This window comes from Homo sapiens, chromosome 18, assembly GCF_000001405.40.
Source record: "Homo sapiens chromosome 18, GRCh38.p14 Primary Assembly".
NCBI classification, from domain to species: domain Eukaryota; kingdom Metazoa; phylum Chordata; class Mammalia; order Primates; family Hominidae; genus Homo; species Homo sapiens.
Window position 1 is genome coordinate 24,697,135 of NC_000018.10, and position 17,451 is coordinate 24,714,585.

Sequence of the window (17,451 nt, forward strand, 5' to 3'; positions counted from 1 at the left end):
ACTATTTACCACACTGACAGATACTGATAAACCCTTCGTGATTTCCTGGCTATTTGGCAAAGTGTTTGAAATAATGATTCAAAAGGGGGCTTCTTGAAAACCTCCTTTTGGAGTCTTAGAGGTTTAACTGATTCCACTGAATCTGATAATTGTGCTGTCTGCAAAGAAATACATGGGAGCAGTACATGGAGCTCAGGTTGTATGTATTGGGAACAGAAACACTTCAATCCTGCTAATTGTATTTAAAGCAGATGGGGAAAGGGAGCCAAACATCAGAGTTTGTTTTGCTGCAGACACTTAATACACACTGTCCGGATTGCTGGCTTTAGTTTCCCATTGTGTAGGGGGGAAACTGATGTTCAGAAAACTTCAATAATTTGACTAAAATCACAGAAGGAGATGGAGCAAGATTTGATCCCTGGTCCTGATTTCCAAGTGAATATCATTTCCCATATGTCTGGCTATGGAAGAGGGAATGAGAATGTAGGAAATGGCAAACCAGGGTCTTGGGCTGAGAAAATGGAGCTTCCCAGGCTGGCATTTACCAAATCATGTGTGGCCTCAAATCCAGTTCTCCAAGACAATTTCCTGCTCCCTACACCCCTACCTCCCTTAGTTACATCCACGTTCCTCCATCATTGGCACCATCGTTCAGTGTCAGCTTCTTCCTGGAAAACTAGTTTGCCTTAAAAACTTGCTCAAAGACTGTTTTTCCCTCTCTCTCTCTCTTTCTAGGACTGACCTCTCTAACTCAGTAGTTAGACTCTTGAGTCCTTGAAATTGAGCACAGGTATGGGCTACCACAGGAACACCAATACAAATGCTAACATTTCCTGAGTGACTACAGTGGGCCGAGTACTGCATTAACTGCTTTATACGTATTATTTCATTTAATCCTCACCACAACCCTCTGTCGTTCCTACTATTATTGCCATTTTATAGATAAGAAAACGGAGGCACAGAAAGACCCAGCCATTTGTCCACGGTTACACAGCTGAAATAAGGCCATAGTAGACTAAAACCCATTGTCATTCCATCCCCAGGGCTTTGTGTTGTCTTTCTGAGCAAACTTGGGTGAATTGTGACTATGGGTTCCTCGGCATGTGCTGCATTCTTCTGATCTCCTGTCTCTGGTTGCAAAGTTCTGGTCCAGGAATCAAGTGTTCAACTTTCCATGCAGCTCCCATAGTACAGAACAGTTCTGAGCAAACAGCGAGTGTTTAGTGAACAGGGTTGACTTTTACTACATGAAACACTAATGTTCAGTTATGTACTTGTGAAGGCAGAGGGAAGTAGCATATTCCAAGTGTCGTGTTGATCCTCAGAGTATATTAAAAGGGAAACCAGACTTTGTCTCAGAGAAACTAAACTAATATTAAATAATGTTATGGGCTACATTGTGATTTCCCCCTCCCTCATATAGATATGTTGAAATTCTAGCCCCCTGCCCCCATACCTCAGAATGTGACTGTATTTGGAGATAGGGTCTTTAAAGAGGCAACTAAGGTAAGAGAAGTTCGTTAGGCTGTGCCCTAATCCAATATGGTGATGTCCTTATAAGAAGAGATTAAGACACAGACACCCACAGAGGGAAGACCATGTAAAGACACGGAGAAGGTGGCCATCTGCAAGCCAAGGAGGAGAGAGGCCTCACGAGAAATCCACCTTGCCAACACCATGGGGAATAAATTTCTGTTGTTTAAGCTACTTGGTCTGTGGTATTTTGTGATGGCAGCCCTGAAAAACTGGTATAGACACCATTTGGGCAAAAAGATAAGAGCCTGCCTCTTTTTCTTGTGGTAAAGGGAGTTGGTGGGCATAGGGCTGCTGTTTGGGGCATACACACCATGACTCTGCAGGTACTCTTTCTGCTGGGAACCAGCCAGAGAGGAGGATATGAATTGGGATTGGGATCAGTAGAGGATGGAGTTTCTGTGACAGTCTCACACCAATTTGTTAGAGCACACTTACTTGTTCACCCAATAAATACTTACTACCCACCTATTATGTGTCCACCACAGTACTGGACCCTGATGATAAATTGTCCAAAATAAAATTTCCAAATGTTCTTCTCCCCACAGTCTCTGTGGATTTCTTCCTGGCCGGGGCACATTGAGTCTCCTTGTTCACTTTCTCTGGATGAAGCAGTTGTTATCAATCAGCATATTACAGCTTTCCATTCTTTTCCTTTATCTTCTTTTTGTTCTTGGTCTTAAGAATGGATAGCAGTCTAAAGTGCTGAGATATTATTTATGCCTTTGCCTTCAGCCCTAGAAGGAGCTTGATGGAATTATCAGTGTTTCTCCTGTTTTCCTCCTAAGAAGGAAGCCAATTTTTATTCTGCGTTTTGAGCCACTAGCCTTAGGGATTTGCTAAGGGCTTTTTGTGCCAGAACCAAAAGGAGAAGTTGTATATGAAAGTGGTGTGACTTGGAGAGTGAGTTTATCTCTCTGAGCCTCAAATGTTCCCATCTGGAAAATAGGAATAATTATGATGCTATCTCATAGGTTTGTTAGGAGGGAAAAAAAAGGTAATGCTTGGGAAGTTCTACATATATGTGCATATATATGTAATAACCATTCCTCGGGTGTTGCTTTTGGGGTCCATACTGACCATAACTTGTTTGGAAGACCAGGCCAATGACAAGGAAGAAATTGCAGGAAGCATTTAGGTGGATGAAGGAGTGTTTATTAGAGTGGGCAGATTTCTGGAGATTAAGAGACATTTTTTGGGGTGGGAATGGGGATGGGGATGGGGGTAGGGTAAGGGAGGGAGTTCCACAAGTTGTAGAGAACTGTGCTCTGCTCAAAGCCATGTCCTTGCTTGGGGCAGGAGGACTACAGCCACCAAGTGATGATGGAGTCTTGAGTGGAGTCACAGGATTTGTGTGGTCCATTCTGCGGTCATAGAGGGGATCACAGGAGGACAGCCTTGCGGCTTTAGTACCAGAGCACAGCACCTCTGCATAAGCATGTCTGGGTACTAAAAGGATGATGGGAAAGATGGGAAACTATGCACTGAAGGTCTGGGTCCTTCCCAGATTTTCTATATCCATTTTCAATTCCTGACTCCATTGAAGTACAAGAAAGCCCCAGTAATGACCATTGCGGGGGAACTTGCCTGTTCTGAGACACTGGGCTGCAGAGATTTCATTTGATTTAGAGAAATAAAAACATGGTACTTTTTGTACCTAAGCATTGCACCCCAAGTTTATATTGATTGCAAGTATTTATTGGTTTTCGTTGTTGTTTATAAAAAATCTCAAAAAATTCAGTATGTAAAATTTGGAAAGTAGGGAAAAACAAAAAAAAAATAAAAATAAAAATTGCCTGTAAACTCACCACTTGGAAATAACAACTCTCGCTGAATATTTTTTGGGGTTTTACTATGTGTATATGCTACATATATCGTTACATCAGTGAGATTATACTGTGCACAGTCTATCCTATTTTCATTTAACAGTGTTATGAAGACTTTCTCATGCAGTATAATACAGTTCTTCATGAAGAACACTTAAATGCTGAATGCTATTCAATTTTAAGGGACAAAATAGATGATTAATCCTTAGATCATTTAACTAAGTAGATTAATCCTTAGATAATTTAATCCTTTATTATTAGAAAGTTGGGTTTCCAGTTTTTTGCTCTGTTAAATAATATTGTTATGATTATCCTCATATAAATTTATGTTCCAGTCTTGTTTTCTGAGAAAGTTTACCTAAAAGTTGTTATCTCTCTTATTTATTGTGTGATATTTTATTAGATTTTATTTTTGAGACAGAGTCTCACTCTGTCACCCAGGCTGGATTGCAGTGGTGCAATCTTGGCTCATTGCAAAACTCAGCCTCCTGGGCTCAAGTGATCCTCCCAGCTCAGCCTCCCTAGTAGCAGTGACTACAGGTGCATGCCACCATGCCTGGGTAATTTTTGTATTTTTTGTAGAGACAGGGTTTTACCATGTTATCCAGGCTCGTCTTGAACTCCTGAGCTCAAGCAATCTACCCACAGCCTCCCAAAGTGCTGGGATTACATATGTGAGACACCACTCCTGACCTCATTTTATTTTTAAAAACCTCTTCCTGTGTTTTCTTAAACCCACACTAAACCCAAAACAATTTCTTCAAATAGCCTTTAGTTCTTCATTACATTTTCTCTCCACCAATTATCCCCAAAGACTCTCATTCTGAGATTGTTGAGAATCGTTTGTACCATTGGCAAGAGTAGGACAACTTACATGCAGTCATTTAAATTAAAGAGTTTCCTTAGCTGCAGCCAAACTGACACTCAAAATTCATCCAAAATCACAGTTATGTTGATTATTTGGTTCTGATATTGCTTTCGTATCTCGCCATTCCCTACTTTTGTTGCTATCAGTGGGTCTACTGTTTTGCTCAGAATTGTCTTCAACAATGTTATAAAGGGCGCTGGTAGAGTAGCAAGATGAGCCTTCACCATCTCTTAGTTGGTTGTTGCTTTTCACTTTTTCCTGGAGGGGCAACATGTGTGTACATACGTGTGTCCACAGGTAGTGTGTTGTATATATGTGTTTGTGGGCACTGCTAGAAAGGAGATTCCTGTAGTTGTTTTAGTTATGCAGACGCCCAAAATATCTGAAGCAGCACCAGACAATATCTCAAAGCATAATGGATACTCACAACGTAACTAGCATATGTGTATGTTCCATCTCAAAATTCTATCCTTGTCTGCCATTTTCTTCTAAGTGTTAAATTTACGATTCTCCTGAGAGCCGCAAATTCAATTAACAATAAGATAGAAAATACAACTCAATGGCATTATGGCCATAACAAAGCGAAGTCTACCTTCGCTGGTTTGTGGTAGAAATGTTGGCTTGTCCAGGACAATCTTTCATAGAAGATGGATTTATCCATCCCTGACAGGTTCAGACCACTTCAGACCAAGCCTTGTTTTCCACAGTCAGAGTCAAAAGTGCATTTTCCTCGCTTCTGATGAAAAGTAACAAAGACTTTTGGTTTTAGGGACCAGAATGAGAGTGATTCTCTTTGAAGCTTTCACAAAGCCGAAAAGAATTTCACACCATTTTGAGTGCTGCAGGTGAAGAATTTAACAGCTGGTGGGAGTGCAAATTAGAGCCAATTATAATTTGATTGACCTGCCTTGACAGTAAACCTGTCTTCTCTAATTTAAAATGCCTAGCAGGATCCTCTCTGCCCTGGTAAGGTGGTGATTTCAAAGGAAGAGCAGCTCAAACTAGGAAATCCTTTAACAATGCTATGACAGTAATAAAGATTTATTTATATAGTGCTTTTTTTCTCTTGGACTAAAATTACTACATTCAAACCAAGGAATAGCATGGTGAGTACAGGAATGAAAAAGGACTGGGCTGGGTAGAAATGAGTCGTGGGGATGGTGGCCACAGAAGTAGAAAATGCATGAAAATTTAGGAAAGTTGTGGAGAAAGGGGAAAGTGTTTCAGTTCCCAAATGTAATGCCAGTTGTCATAATATTTGTAAAGAAACCAAATGTAGAATTAAAAAGTGTATTCTCCAAAATTGTTTTAAAATGGCATAAGAAAGCACATTTTATTCCTGTGTTTGATTTTAGAAGCTAATTTATCCTGTCGCCTTATTTAACTAGGTCAAAGGAGGCATAGAACTCTAGTTCAAACTCAACCTACTCATTCCCTACTTATTGACAATAGCTAGGGTTTAATTAACTATTTATACTTTATGAGGAAAAAAGTTGGTGGATCTGCATTTCCTGCTTTGCCTTGAGTGAAATCTCCAAGTCTTTTCTATTGACCTCTAATTCTGATGCAGGTGATCTGCACACCCCATGCTCCAGGCTCTTGGAAGGTAGTGCTCCTGAAACCGTCCCCAAGAAAATTTTATAAAATAGATTAAGGGAAAAAATAAAATTCAGCTAGGCTTGCAGCTCAATCAGAGGTAATTATTAAGCCAGCTTGCCCTTTGTCTCACTTCCTTGTAGCTGGTTACTACTTACTACTCCAGGAAGACCTCCAGGATAATGTAGCCCTTGTCACAATATTCTTTGTTCTATAGATAAAATCTAAGACATTGTGAGATGATAAGCTTTCTGTTTGAGTTTCTCCTTTAGTTCTGTATTCCAACAAAACTACCCATGCCAGCTGGTCTGAAGAGCCCAGTAGGAAGCTGACCCATGGAAGAATGCAGTTTCCACATCCTGTTGACTTCATCCCCTTACCATGACCAAACAATGACCCCAATTTTCTAGCTCCTTGCCCTCCATGATCTCCTTAGAGACCCTTGCCCAGAACCCTTTGATGAAATGGATTTGAGGCTTGAGAATCGCTCCTGTTACCTCCTTTGGCAGACTTGCAATGATTAAACTCTTTCTCTGCTGCAAACCCTGCTGTCTCAGTGTATTAGTCTGTTGCTGCACAGCAGATATAACAACCTGGCAGTCCTGTAATACTCCCAGGAGCCAACTGTGTCACCATCAAACAGAGATTCAACAGATCTTCTCTCCAGTCCCACTCCTACAATTTAGGACTTACTTGATCTTGGGCATGTTGTCCTCTTTGAGTCTCAGTTCTTATCATTTGAAAAATGGAAATAATAAAATCTGCTTCATGGGGTATGGTGGTGATAGGTGAGATGCCATATGCAAAATGACTCGGCACAATGTCTGGCCCAGAGTAGCTCCCAGGAAACGGTGAGATTCTGTTTCTTCCTCTGACAGGACTCCTTCACCTTCACTCCATCGCTAAGGTTGCCTGGCCTTCTTTCTTCTCTCTTCTTTCTCTCAGTGAACCTTCTGCAATGACCTGAGGGGAGACTGAGGGAGGGAAGATGGGGAGAAGAAGTGCAGGTCTTGCCTCCTTGGTATGGTACTTAGAATGAATTTCACTAATTTCACTAAGTAACAATGTTCTTCCTGCTGATGAGATTTTATAATTCTAATATTTGGGTACACTGTATACGAAACATACTTTTGCAGTTGGCTTAAAAATCTTATCTTTTTATCATATGATTTATATAAAATGAAGTGAGGAAAGAAAGGAAAATGGCTGGCAGGGCATGGTGGTTCATGCCTGGAATCCCAGCACTTTGGGAGGCCGAGGTGGGCAGATCATGAAGTCGGGAGTTTGAGACCAGCCTGGGAATATGGTGAAACTCCATCTCTACTAAAAATACAAAAATTAGCTGGGCGTGGTGGTACACAACTGTAGTCCCAGCTACTTGGGAGGCTGAGGCAGAAGAATCGCCGGAACCCAGGAGATGGAGGTTGCAGTGAGCCGAGATCACACCACTGCATTCCAGCCTGGGCAACAGAGCGAGACTGTCTTAAAAAAAAAAAAAAAAAAAAAAAAGCGAAAATGGGTGTAACAAAGGCCATGAACTTTACTTCATAGGAAAGGAGATGGACACTTTCATTTTTTGGATACACTATATACAGCCAGAGTTTTACTGCCTTAAATTTTATGACAAGTAAAGTTATCAATAGAAACAGAAGCCTGAATTCCAAACAAAATCAATTTAATGTACAAACTTCTGGATTTTAGCATGTAACTGTGTGTAACTGCATTCATGTCAATGGCTACAAATCACTGGGAAGCTTCTACATAAGGAGGCAGAATAAAGTGATGGGCTTTGTGACAGCGCAACCTCTTTCCTTTTCACATTAATTCTGAATGAGGGTTAGGGTTTCTGGAAGTCTATTCTTTGTATAATGAGAGCTTTCCTCTATTACTATAAATGTGGCTCCTAGGGTCTCTTTCTACTAAAAAAATTACTACTAATAAAGATATATGTAGTGATGATTGTATGCATCCTTGTTCACATCTGTGAAACTGAAGTTTCTTGTGGGTAACACATCTGGCTTTAAAAAAATTACCTATAGGAAGATTAAATGGTAAGCAAGGATCTCAGTAACCAGATTCTGGAGTGCAGCCAACCCCCAAGCAATGAAATGATGATTTCTGCAACCAGGCTTGACTGGGCTGGACCTGGGCAGATGATGGAGGGGAGCAGGAGGTGCAGGCAGCTGCTGTCTGGTGAACCGAAACGGGGCATTCACAAGGTGGGCAGACAGATGCCATAATGACCCACTAAAGAATACCCACATGCAGTACAACATAGCTGTGAAACGTGGAGAAACAATGGCAGCAGATGGACAAAAACCTGGCATGCAGCAGGCAGGGAGAAGCAGCTCATTTATAGCAAAAAGTCCTGGGTGGCTCAGGGAGGGACAAAAATCCAGACCCATACCAAGCCTGTAAATAGCAACAGGCCCTGTAAGCGGCCTTCATCCTTTTCAAATATTTATTGACTGCTTGCTATGGGTCACATACTTGGCTATGGGTCACATACTTGGCGAGGTGCTGCACGAATGCAGGGATGAAGACAGGCTTATTGAGTTCAAGGAGTTTAGAATCCAATGGACACGCAGCAGGTTTCTGTTTATATGAGACCATTTGGGAATTATGTTGTGGTTCCTGGCATTCCAGGCATTTAACATTCTTCACAATTTGGTTCTTCTTTTTCTAGATCTTGGATGGCATAACTTCAAAACCAAGGGAGATGGAGGAGTTTTAGAGGAGTAGAAGGCTGCAAGCAAGAACTGATGCATTACATCTCCAGTCACCTCACTCTAAGATTGTCCTGTAGCTAAGACTGTTGAATGAGACTGTTGTTCTTCAGTTTGCAGCCACAAAGCACGGAGGCATCTCCCCAAGAATCCACTGCAGGGAGGATGAACAGCCCTTACCTGGATTTTTGCTTTATCTAAAAATATATTTGTAGAAGAAGGAGCATTCTAGTTTCCAAATACAAAGGGCAATCTCCTTCTCTGTGTGTGCACGTGCAAACAAACACACTTCTACAAGTAAGCATTCTTCTTTATTATCATAGTCATCATCATCACTGGGTTGGCAACTAAAAACAAAACTACAAAACTCTCATGTTAGCAGTTGAGTAACTTTTAATAACCAGATACAAACCATTCTTCATTGTTTACAAGGGGCATTAAAAAGAAAAGGAGGTTGAACTGCAATGTGAAGTGTAGTTAAATATGTAGACATCTTGGATTCTAGAAGAGTTTGTAATGGATTAAAGGGTTAAGCTATGAAATTGTTGCCCTCTGTGATTTTTCCACACTAGAACAGACTGACATGGTTTGAAGCAGTTGGGCTTTAACCTATAGATAGGAGGACAGAGATGATTGCCTATGAAGCAATTATTAAATAGCTGCATTTTGGCATGTTCTAGTTGAAAAGATTTAGTTTTACCTATATCACCTCATCATCACTAATTTAATCATCCTCAGAAAATGCAAAAATAATGATGTACATTTGACAAGTCTTATACAAAATTATGTTTCATAGCTTTGTGGTCAGAATTAAGCCATGTTCTAAAATACAAATGAATAGTTTACAGCCCACTAATTCCTAACTGTAAGTGTTAAGTCTATATAAAAATAAGAGACAAGCTTGTGATCAGGAATAGCTTCCAATTATGAAAAATTTAAATAAAAATAATAGAATGTGCTTAATTTATTTATCATATACAAAGTAGACATATGTGACCAAAATGATTCATTATTTTTACGATTTTCATGGGAATAAGTTTGACAATATTAAGTGCTGGAGATAGAATATCAGGTAATCTTAAATACTGTTCATAGGAATGTACAACCATTTTGGAGAACAGTTGGAATTATCCAAAGAAAGCTGAAGATTTTCCTAACTTATAATTTTAAAAATTGGCACATGCCCTCAAGTAACAGTTGCATACCTAAGGAGACATGTGTAAGTATTTTTACAGCAGCATTATTTATAATAGCCCAAATTGGAAATAACCTAAAATCATATGTTCTTACAAAGGAGTACTACACAACAGTGAAAGCAAATAAACTATAGCTAAATGTTATCTATCTTGAAGGCATTTATAAGAATAATGATGCTTTCACAAAGTAAATTGCAGGATGTTATATACAATGTGATACAATTCATGTAAGTTACCAAACATGCAACACAATACATAACATTGTCCAAGGATAAGTATAAATGCAGTAAAGGTATAAATAAATGTAGGATTATGATGCTTGCTTGAATATTCTGTATACTCTTTTGCATATCTTTAATATTATTTAATAAATGAATAGACAAATCAGTAATACTAAAACCAAAGTCCAAGGGTGCCAGATTCAATTCAAGAGGTAGAATAAAACTGCTGGAGGAGAGGTGGAGATTGCAAGACATAAATGGGTTTAGAATTTTTTCCCTGTATTTTCCTCTGTGACAGTAGATATTAAGTTGCTATTTTCTTTAGAAAATAAGTTCAAAGAGGGAGACGATCCCCATTCCATATTTTTTTTTTCCCCAGACGGAGTCTTGTTCTGTTGCCCAGGCTGGAGTGCAGTGGCATGATCTTGGCTCACTGCAACCTCTGCTTCCTGAGTTGAAGCAATTCTCCTGTCTCAGCCTCATGAGTAGCTGGGATTACAGGTGCCTGCCACCATGCTCGACTAATTTTTCTATTTTTAGTAGAGAAGGGGGTTTCACCATGTTGGCCAGGCTGGTCTTGAACTCCTGACCTCGTGATCCACCCAAAGTGCTGGGATTACAGGCATGAGTCACCGAGCCTGGCCCTATTCCATTTTTTATCTATCACATTTTTTTTTTTTATTCTGAGAGGGCATAAAGATATGGGGTTATGGAAGCAAGTCTTTCAGAAGGCCCTCCTCTTTGAGGGACATGATTAGTTCAGTATGTCTTAAGCAGATAATTTCTGAGTCAGTGTTATATTAGATTGGAACCAGATATTGATCAAACTGTGGCAGTGCTTAAATGTAAGCGTGAAGAGGTGAGACTGTGTCATAGACATTAGAGTGCTACTAATATATGTATGCATGTAGGGAAACAAGATAAGGATACATAAATTAATAGAGATAGGTACATACTTTTATATACAGCTATACGTAAATACATAAGCATATATATCTTACACCTGTAAGTATGTGTCTATTATCTATCTATAATTATTTATGTCTATAATTATCACTACAATTATATATCCTCATTAGAATACTCTGACTTATCCAGGATTGGGATGGGGGTGGGGGGCAGAGTGTTGAAGAAAAGTTATAAAAATATTAGCTGGTGGGCCAGGCACGGTGGCTCACTCCTGTAATCTCAGTACTTTGGGAGGCTGAGGCGGGCAGATCACGAGGTCAGGAGATCGAGACCATCCTGGCTAACACAGTGAAATCCCGCCTCTACTAAAAATACAAAAACAAAATTAGCCGGGCGTGGTGGCAGGGGCCTGTAGTCGCAGCTACCGGGGAGGCTGAGGCAAGAGAATGGCGTGAACCCGGGAGGCGGAGGTTGCAGTGAGCCGAGATCGCGCCACTGCACTCCACCCTGGGTGACAGAGTGAGACTCCGTCTCAAAAAAAAAAAAAAAAAAAAAAAAATAGCCAGTTTCATTTCTTTTATTATAATATGAGAATGGAAAGTGTCACTTTAAAATGAAATGCCTATATTTAAATGGCATAGCGTTAATAATTAATGGTAACTAATAGATTCTGCAAAGACCTTTAAAGATGAGAATGCCATATACTGGGTAATGAGAATGACTATTATTGATAAAAACAGTATTAACTTGTGAACACACAATTGGGAAGGGAGATATACAAAATCAGTTTTTCCTATGTAAAAACAGAGATTGATATTTCTAGCTGTGGAAGGTAAACTCAGAAATTAGCTCAGTATTTCATAATTCTTTTAGAGATGTGACATATACTTCTTAAAATATTTTGTCATTTTTTCCATCTTAAAAAAAGGTGTAGAATAACATATTTATTTGAGGAATTATTTTTGTTTTAATATCATAACATAAAGCCATAACAGGTGTTCAACAAATAATGATTGAAATAGCACATCTCTTCTAAAAATAGCGTCCTTATATTTGATCACACTTTTTAAAAATTCTTTTACTTATTTTTTCATTAATCACTTATAGAGCACCTATTACGTTTTGGGCATCATGCCAAACACCCCAAAGAAAACACACACAGGTAAAGTCCTTGGAGAGTCACAATCTGCGGGAGACAACAGAATGTAAACAGCTGAAATGTGATATGTAGATTAAGGAGCAAGCTCTGAAAGGGCCAGTAGATCAGTCTAGAGCAGAGTTTCTCAACCTTCACACTATTGACATTTTGGGCCAGGTAATTCTTTAGTGAGTGGCTGTCCTGTACATTGTGGGTTTAGTGAAAGTTCTGGCCCCTACCCACTAGCTGCCAGCAGCACTCTCCCGTATCAAAATGTCTCCACCGAAAATGTCTCCAGGTATTGCTGAGTATTTGGAGTGCTGGGGGTCAAAATGGCCTGTAGTTGAAAACGACTTCTCTAGAGAATCTACTTATATTTCAGAAATGAGAAAGATTTCTGTAGATTTATTTTAAAATTATCACTATTATTTTAGCCATTTTTTTCATTCAGCCAAAATGCATGTTTTTTCTTTCTTTCTTTTTTTCTTTTTTTTTTTGAGACAGAGTCTCACTCTGTTGCCCAGGCTGGAGTATAGTGGTGCAATCTGGGCTCACTGCAACCTCTGCCTCCCGGGTTCAAGTGATTCTTCTGCCTCAGCCTCCCAAGTAGCTAGGACTACAGGCATGTGTCACCACGCCGGCTAATTTTTGTATTTTTAGTAGAGATGGGGTTTCACCATACTGGCCAGGCTGGTCTCGAACTCCTGACCTCAAGTGACCCGCCCGCCTGGGCCTCCCAAAGTGCTTAGCCAACATACATGTATTGAGGAAGTATGGAAACTAGCATGGTTGGAGAAGATAGAGTGAAAACTTTCTCCTTTTATGGGACATTAAGGATATCAGAGATTCTGTGTGAAACTTGGCTACCTGGATAGTTTCAATATTGTTATGATTAAGAAGTGGGATGATCTAGAAAGAACGTGGCATGGATTACAAATTCCAAGAGGCAGGGATCAAATCTGTTTTTAAGAACTTTTATTGAGGAATGATTTAAATACCATGAAATGCACTCACTGTAAGTGGATAGAAGTTATACAAATGTAGGTAAATTCACACAGTTATGCAGTCATTACCATGATCCAGTTTTAAAACATTTTCATCATCCTGAAAGTTCCTGTGTGGATTTTTGCAGTCTACCCAGTTTCATGCATCCATCAATCTTTTTTTCTGTTATGTAGTTTCCCTTTTCTAGACATTTTATATAAATGAAATTATATAATACATAGCCATTACTCTCTGGCTTCTTTCAAGTAGCACAGGTGTTTTGAGGTCTAGCCATGTTGTTGAATGTTACCAGTATTTTGTTCCTTTTTATTTATTCCATTGTATGAATACCAGATTTGGTTAATCCTTTCACTAATTGATAGCAGTTTGGATGGTTTTCAGTGTCTAGCTATTATGAATAATGCTAGTATGAACAATCTTCTTGTGGACATATTTTCATTTCTCTTTAGTAGATAACTCAATGAAATTGCTCAAGGTGAAATTGCTGAGTCATATGGAAACACCTTGCTAAACTGCTGAACTGTTTTCTAAACAGACCATTACATTTCATTCTCACCAACAATGTGTGCAGTTTCCAGTTTCTCTACTTCCTTGTCAACACTTGGTAGTGTCAGTCTGTTTGATTTTAGCCATTTCAATAATTTCATAGTGGTGTCTTTCTTTTTTTTTTTTTTAATTATACTTTAAGTTTTAGGGTACATGTGCACATTGTGCAGGTTAGTTACATATGTATATATGTGCCATGCTGGTGCACTGCACCCACTAACTCGTCATCTAGCATTAGGTATATCTCCCAATGCTATCCCTCCCCCCTCCCCCCACCCCACCACAGTCCCCAGAGTGTGATATTCCCCTTCCTGTGTCCATGTGATCTCATTGTTCAATTCCCACCTATGAGTGAGAATATGCAGTGTTTGGTTTTTTGTTCTTGCGATAGTTTACTGAGAATGATGTTTTCCAATTTCATCCATGTCCCTACAAAGGACATGAACTCATCATTTTTTATGGCTGCATAGTACTCCATGGTGTATATGTGCCACATTTTCTTAATCCAGTCTATCATTGTTGGACATTTGGGTTGGTTCCAAGTCTTTGCTATTGTGAATAATGCCGCAATAAACATACGTGTGCATGTGTCTTTATAGCAGCATGATTTATAGTCCTTTGGGTATATACCCATTAATGGGATGGCTGGGTCAAATGGTATTTCCAGTTCTAGATCCCTGAGGAATTGCCACACTGACTTCCACAATGGTTGAACTAGTTTACAGTCCCACCAACAGTGTAAAAGTGTTCCTATTTCTCCACATCCTCTCCAGCACCTGTTGTTTCCTGACTTTTTAATGATTGCCATTCTAACTGGTGTGAGATGGTATCTCATTGTGGTTTTGATTTGCATTTCTCTGATGGTCAGTGATGATGAGCATTTTTTCATGTGTTTTTTGGCTGCATAAATGTCTTCTTTTGAGAAGTGTCTGTTCATGTCCTTTGCCCACTTTTTGATGGGGTTGTTTGTTTTTTTCTTGTAAATTTGTTTGAGGTCATTGTAGATTCTGGATATTAGCCCTTTGTCAGATGAGTAGGTTGCGAAAATTTTCTCCCATGTTGTAGGTTGCCTGTTCACTCTGATGGTAGTTTCTTTTGCTGTGCAGAAGCTCTTTAGTTTAATTAGATCCCATTTGTCAATTTTGGCTTTTGTTGCCATTGCTTTTGGTGTTTTAGACATGAAGTCCTTGCCCATGCCTATGTCCTGAATGGTAATGCCTAGGTTTTCTTCTAGGGTTTTTATGGTTTTAGGTCTAACGTTTAAATCTTTAATCCATCTTGAATTGATTTTTGTATAAAGTGTAAGGAAGGGATCCAGTTTCAGCTTTCTACATATGGCTAGCCAGTTTTCCCAGCACCATTTATTAAATAGGGAATCCTTTCCCCATTGCTTGTTTTTCTCAGGTTTGTCAAAGATCAGATAGTTGTAGATATGCGGCGTTATTTCTGAGGGCTCTGTTCTGTTCCATTGATCTATATCTCTGTTTTGGTACCAGTACCATGCTGTTTTGGTTACTGTAGTCTTGTAGTATAGTTTGAAGTCAGGTAGTGTGATGCCTCCAGCTTTGTTCTTTTGGCTTAGGATTGACTTGGCAATGCGGGCTCTTTTTTGGTTCCATATGAACTTTAAAGTAGTTTTTTCCAGTTCTGTGAAGAAAGGCATTGGTAGCTTGATGGGGATGGCATTGAATCTGTAAATTACCTTGGGCAGTATGGCCATTTTCACGATATTGATTCTTCCTACCCATGAGCATGGAATGTTCTTCCATTTGTTTGTATCCTCTTTTATTTCCTTGAGCAGTGGTTTGTAGTTCTCCTTGAAGAGGTCCTTCACATCCCTTGTAAGTTGGATTCCTAGGTATTTTATTCTCTTTGAAGCAATTGTGAATGGGAGTTCACTCATGATTTGGCTCTCTGTTTGTCTGTTGTTGGTGTATAAGAATGCTTGTGATTTTTTACATTGATTTTGTATCCTGAGACTTTGCTGGAGTTGCTTATCAGCTTAAGGAGATTTTGGGCTGAGACAATGGGGTTTTCTAGATATACAATCATGTCATCTGCAAATAGGGACAATTTGACTTCCTCTTTTCCTAATTGAATACCCTTTATTTCCTTCTCCTGCCTAATTGTCCTGGCCAGAACTTCCAACACTATGTTGAATAGGAGAGGTGAGAGAGGGCATCCCTGTCTTGTGCCAGTTTTCAAAGGGAATGCTTCCAGTTTTTGCCCATTCAGTATGATATTGGCTGTGGGTTTGTCATAGATAGCTCTTATTATTTTGAAATACATCCCATCAATACCTAATTTATTGAGAGTTTTTAGCATGAAGGGTTGTTGAATTTTGTCAAAGGCTTTTTCTGCATCTATTGAGATAATCATGTGGTTTTTGTCTTTGGCTCTGTTTATATGCTGGATTACATTTATTGATTTGCGTATATTGAACCAGCCTTGCATCCCAGGGATGAAGCCCACTTGATCATGGTGGATAAGCTTTTTGATGTGCTGCTGGATTCGGTTTGCCAGTATTTTATTGAGGATTTTTGCATCAATGTTCATCAAGGATATTGGTCTAAAATTCTCTTTTTTTGTTGTGTCTCTGCCCGGCTTTGGTATCAGAATGATGCTGGCCTCATAAAATGAGTTAGGGAGGATTCCCTCTTTTTCTATTGATTGGAATAGTTTCAGAAGGAATGGTACCAGTTCCTCCTTGTACCTCTGGTAGAATTCAGCTGTGAATCCATCTGGTCCTGGACTCTTTTTGGTTGGTAAGCTATTGATTATTGCCACAATTTCAGATCCTGTTATTGGTCTATTCAGAGATTCAACTTCTTCCTGGTTTAGTCTTGGGAGAGTGTATGTGTCGAGGAATTTATCCATTTCTTCCAGATTTTTTAGTTTATTTGCGTAGAGGTGTTTGTAGTATTATCTGATGGTAGTTTGTATTTCTGTGGGATCGGTGGTAATATCCCCTTTATCATTTTTTTATTGTGTCTATTAGATTCTTCTCTCTTTTTTTCTTTATTAGTCTTGCTAGCGGTCTATCAATTTTGTTGATCCTTTCAAAAACCCAGCTCCTGGATTCATTAATTCTTTGAAGGGTTTTTTGTGTCTCTATTTCCTTCAGTTCTGCTCTGATCTTAGTTATTTCTTGCCTTCTGCTAGCTTTTGAATGTGTTTGCTCTTGCTTTTCTAGTTCTTTTAATTGTGATGTTAGGGTGTCAATTTTGGATCTTTCCTGCTTTCTCTTGTGGGCATTTAGTGCTATAAATTTCCCTCTATACACTGTTTTGAATGCGTCCCAGAGATTCTGGTATGTTGTGTCTTTGTTCTCATTGGTTTCAAAGAACATCTTTATTTCTGCCTTCATTTCGTTATGCACCCAGTAGTCATTCAGGAGCAGGTTGTTCAGTTTCCATGTAGTTGAGCGGTTTTGAGTGAGATTCTTAATCCTGAGTTCTAGTTTGATTGCACTGTGGTCTGAGAGATAGTTTGTTCTAATTTCTGTTCTTTTACATTTGCTGAGGAGAGCTTTACTTCCAAGTATGTGGTCAATTTTGGAATAGGTGTGGTGTGGTGCTGAAAAAAATGTATATTCTGTTGATTTGGGGTGGAGAGTTCTGTAGATGTCTATTAGGTCTGCTTGGTGCAGAGCTGAGTTCAATTCCTGGGTATCCTTGTTGACTTTCTGTCTCGTTGATCTGTCTAATGTTGACAGTGGGGTGTTAAAGTCTCCCATTATTAATGTGTGGGAGTCTAAGTATCTTTGTAGATCACTCAGGACTTGCTTTATGAATCTTGGTGCTCCTGTATTGGGTGCATATATATTTAGGGTAGTTAGCTCTTCTTGTTGAATTGATCCCTTTACCATTATGTAATGGCCTTCTTTG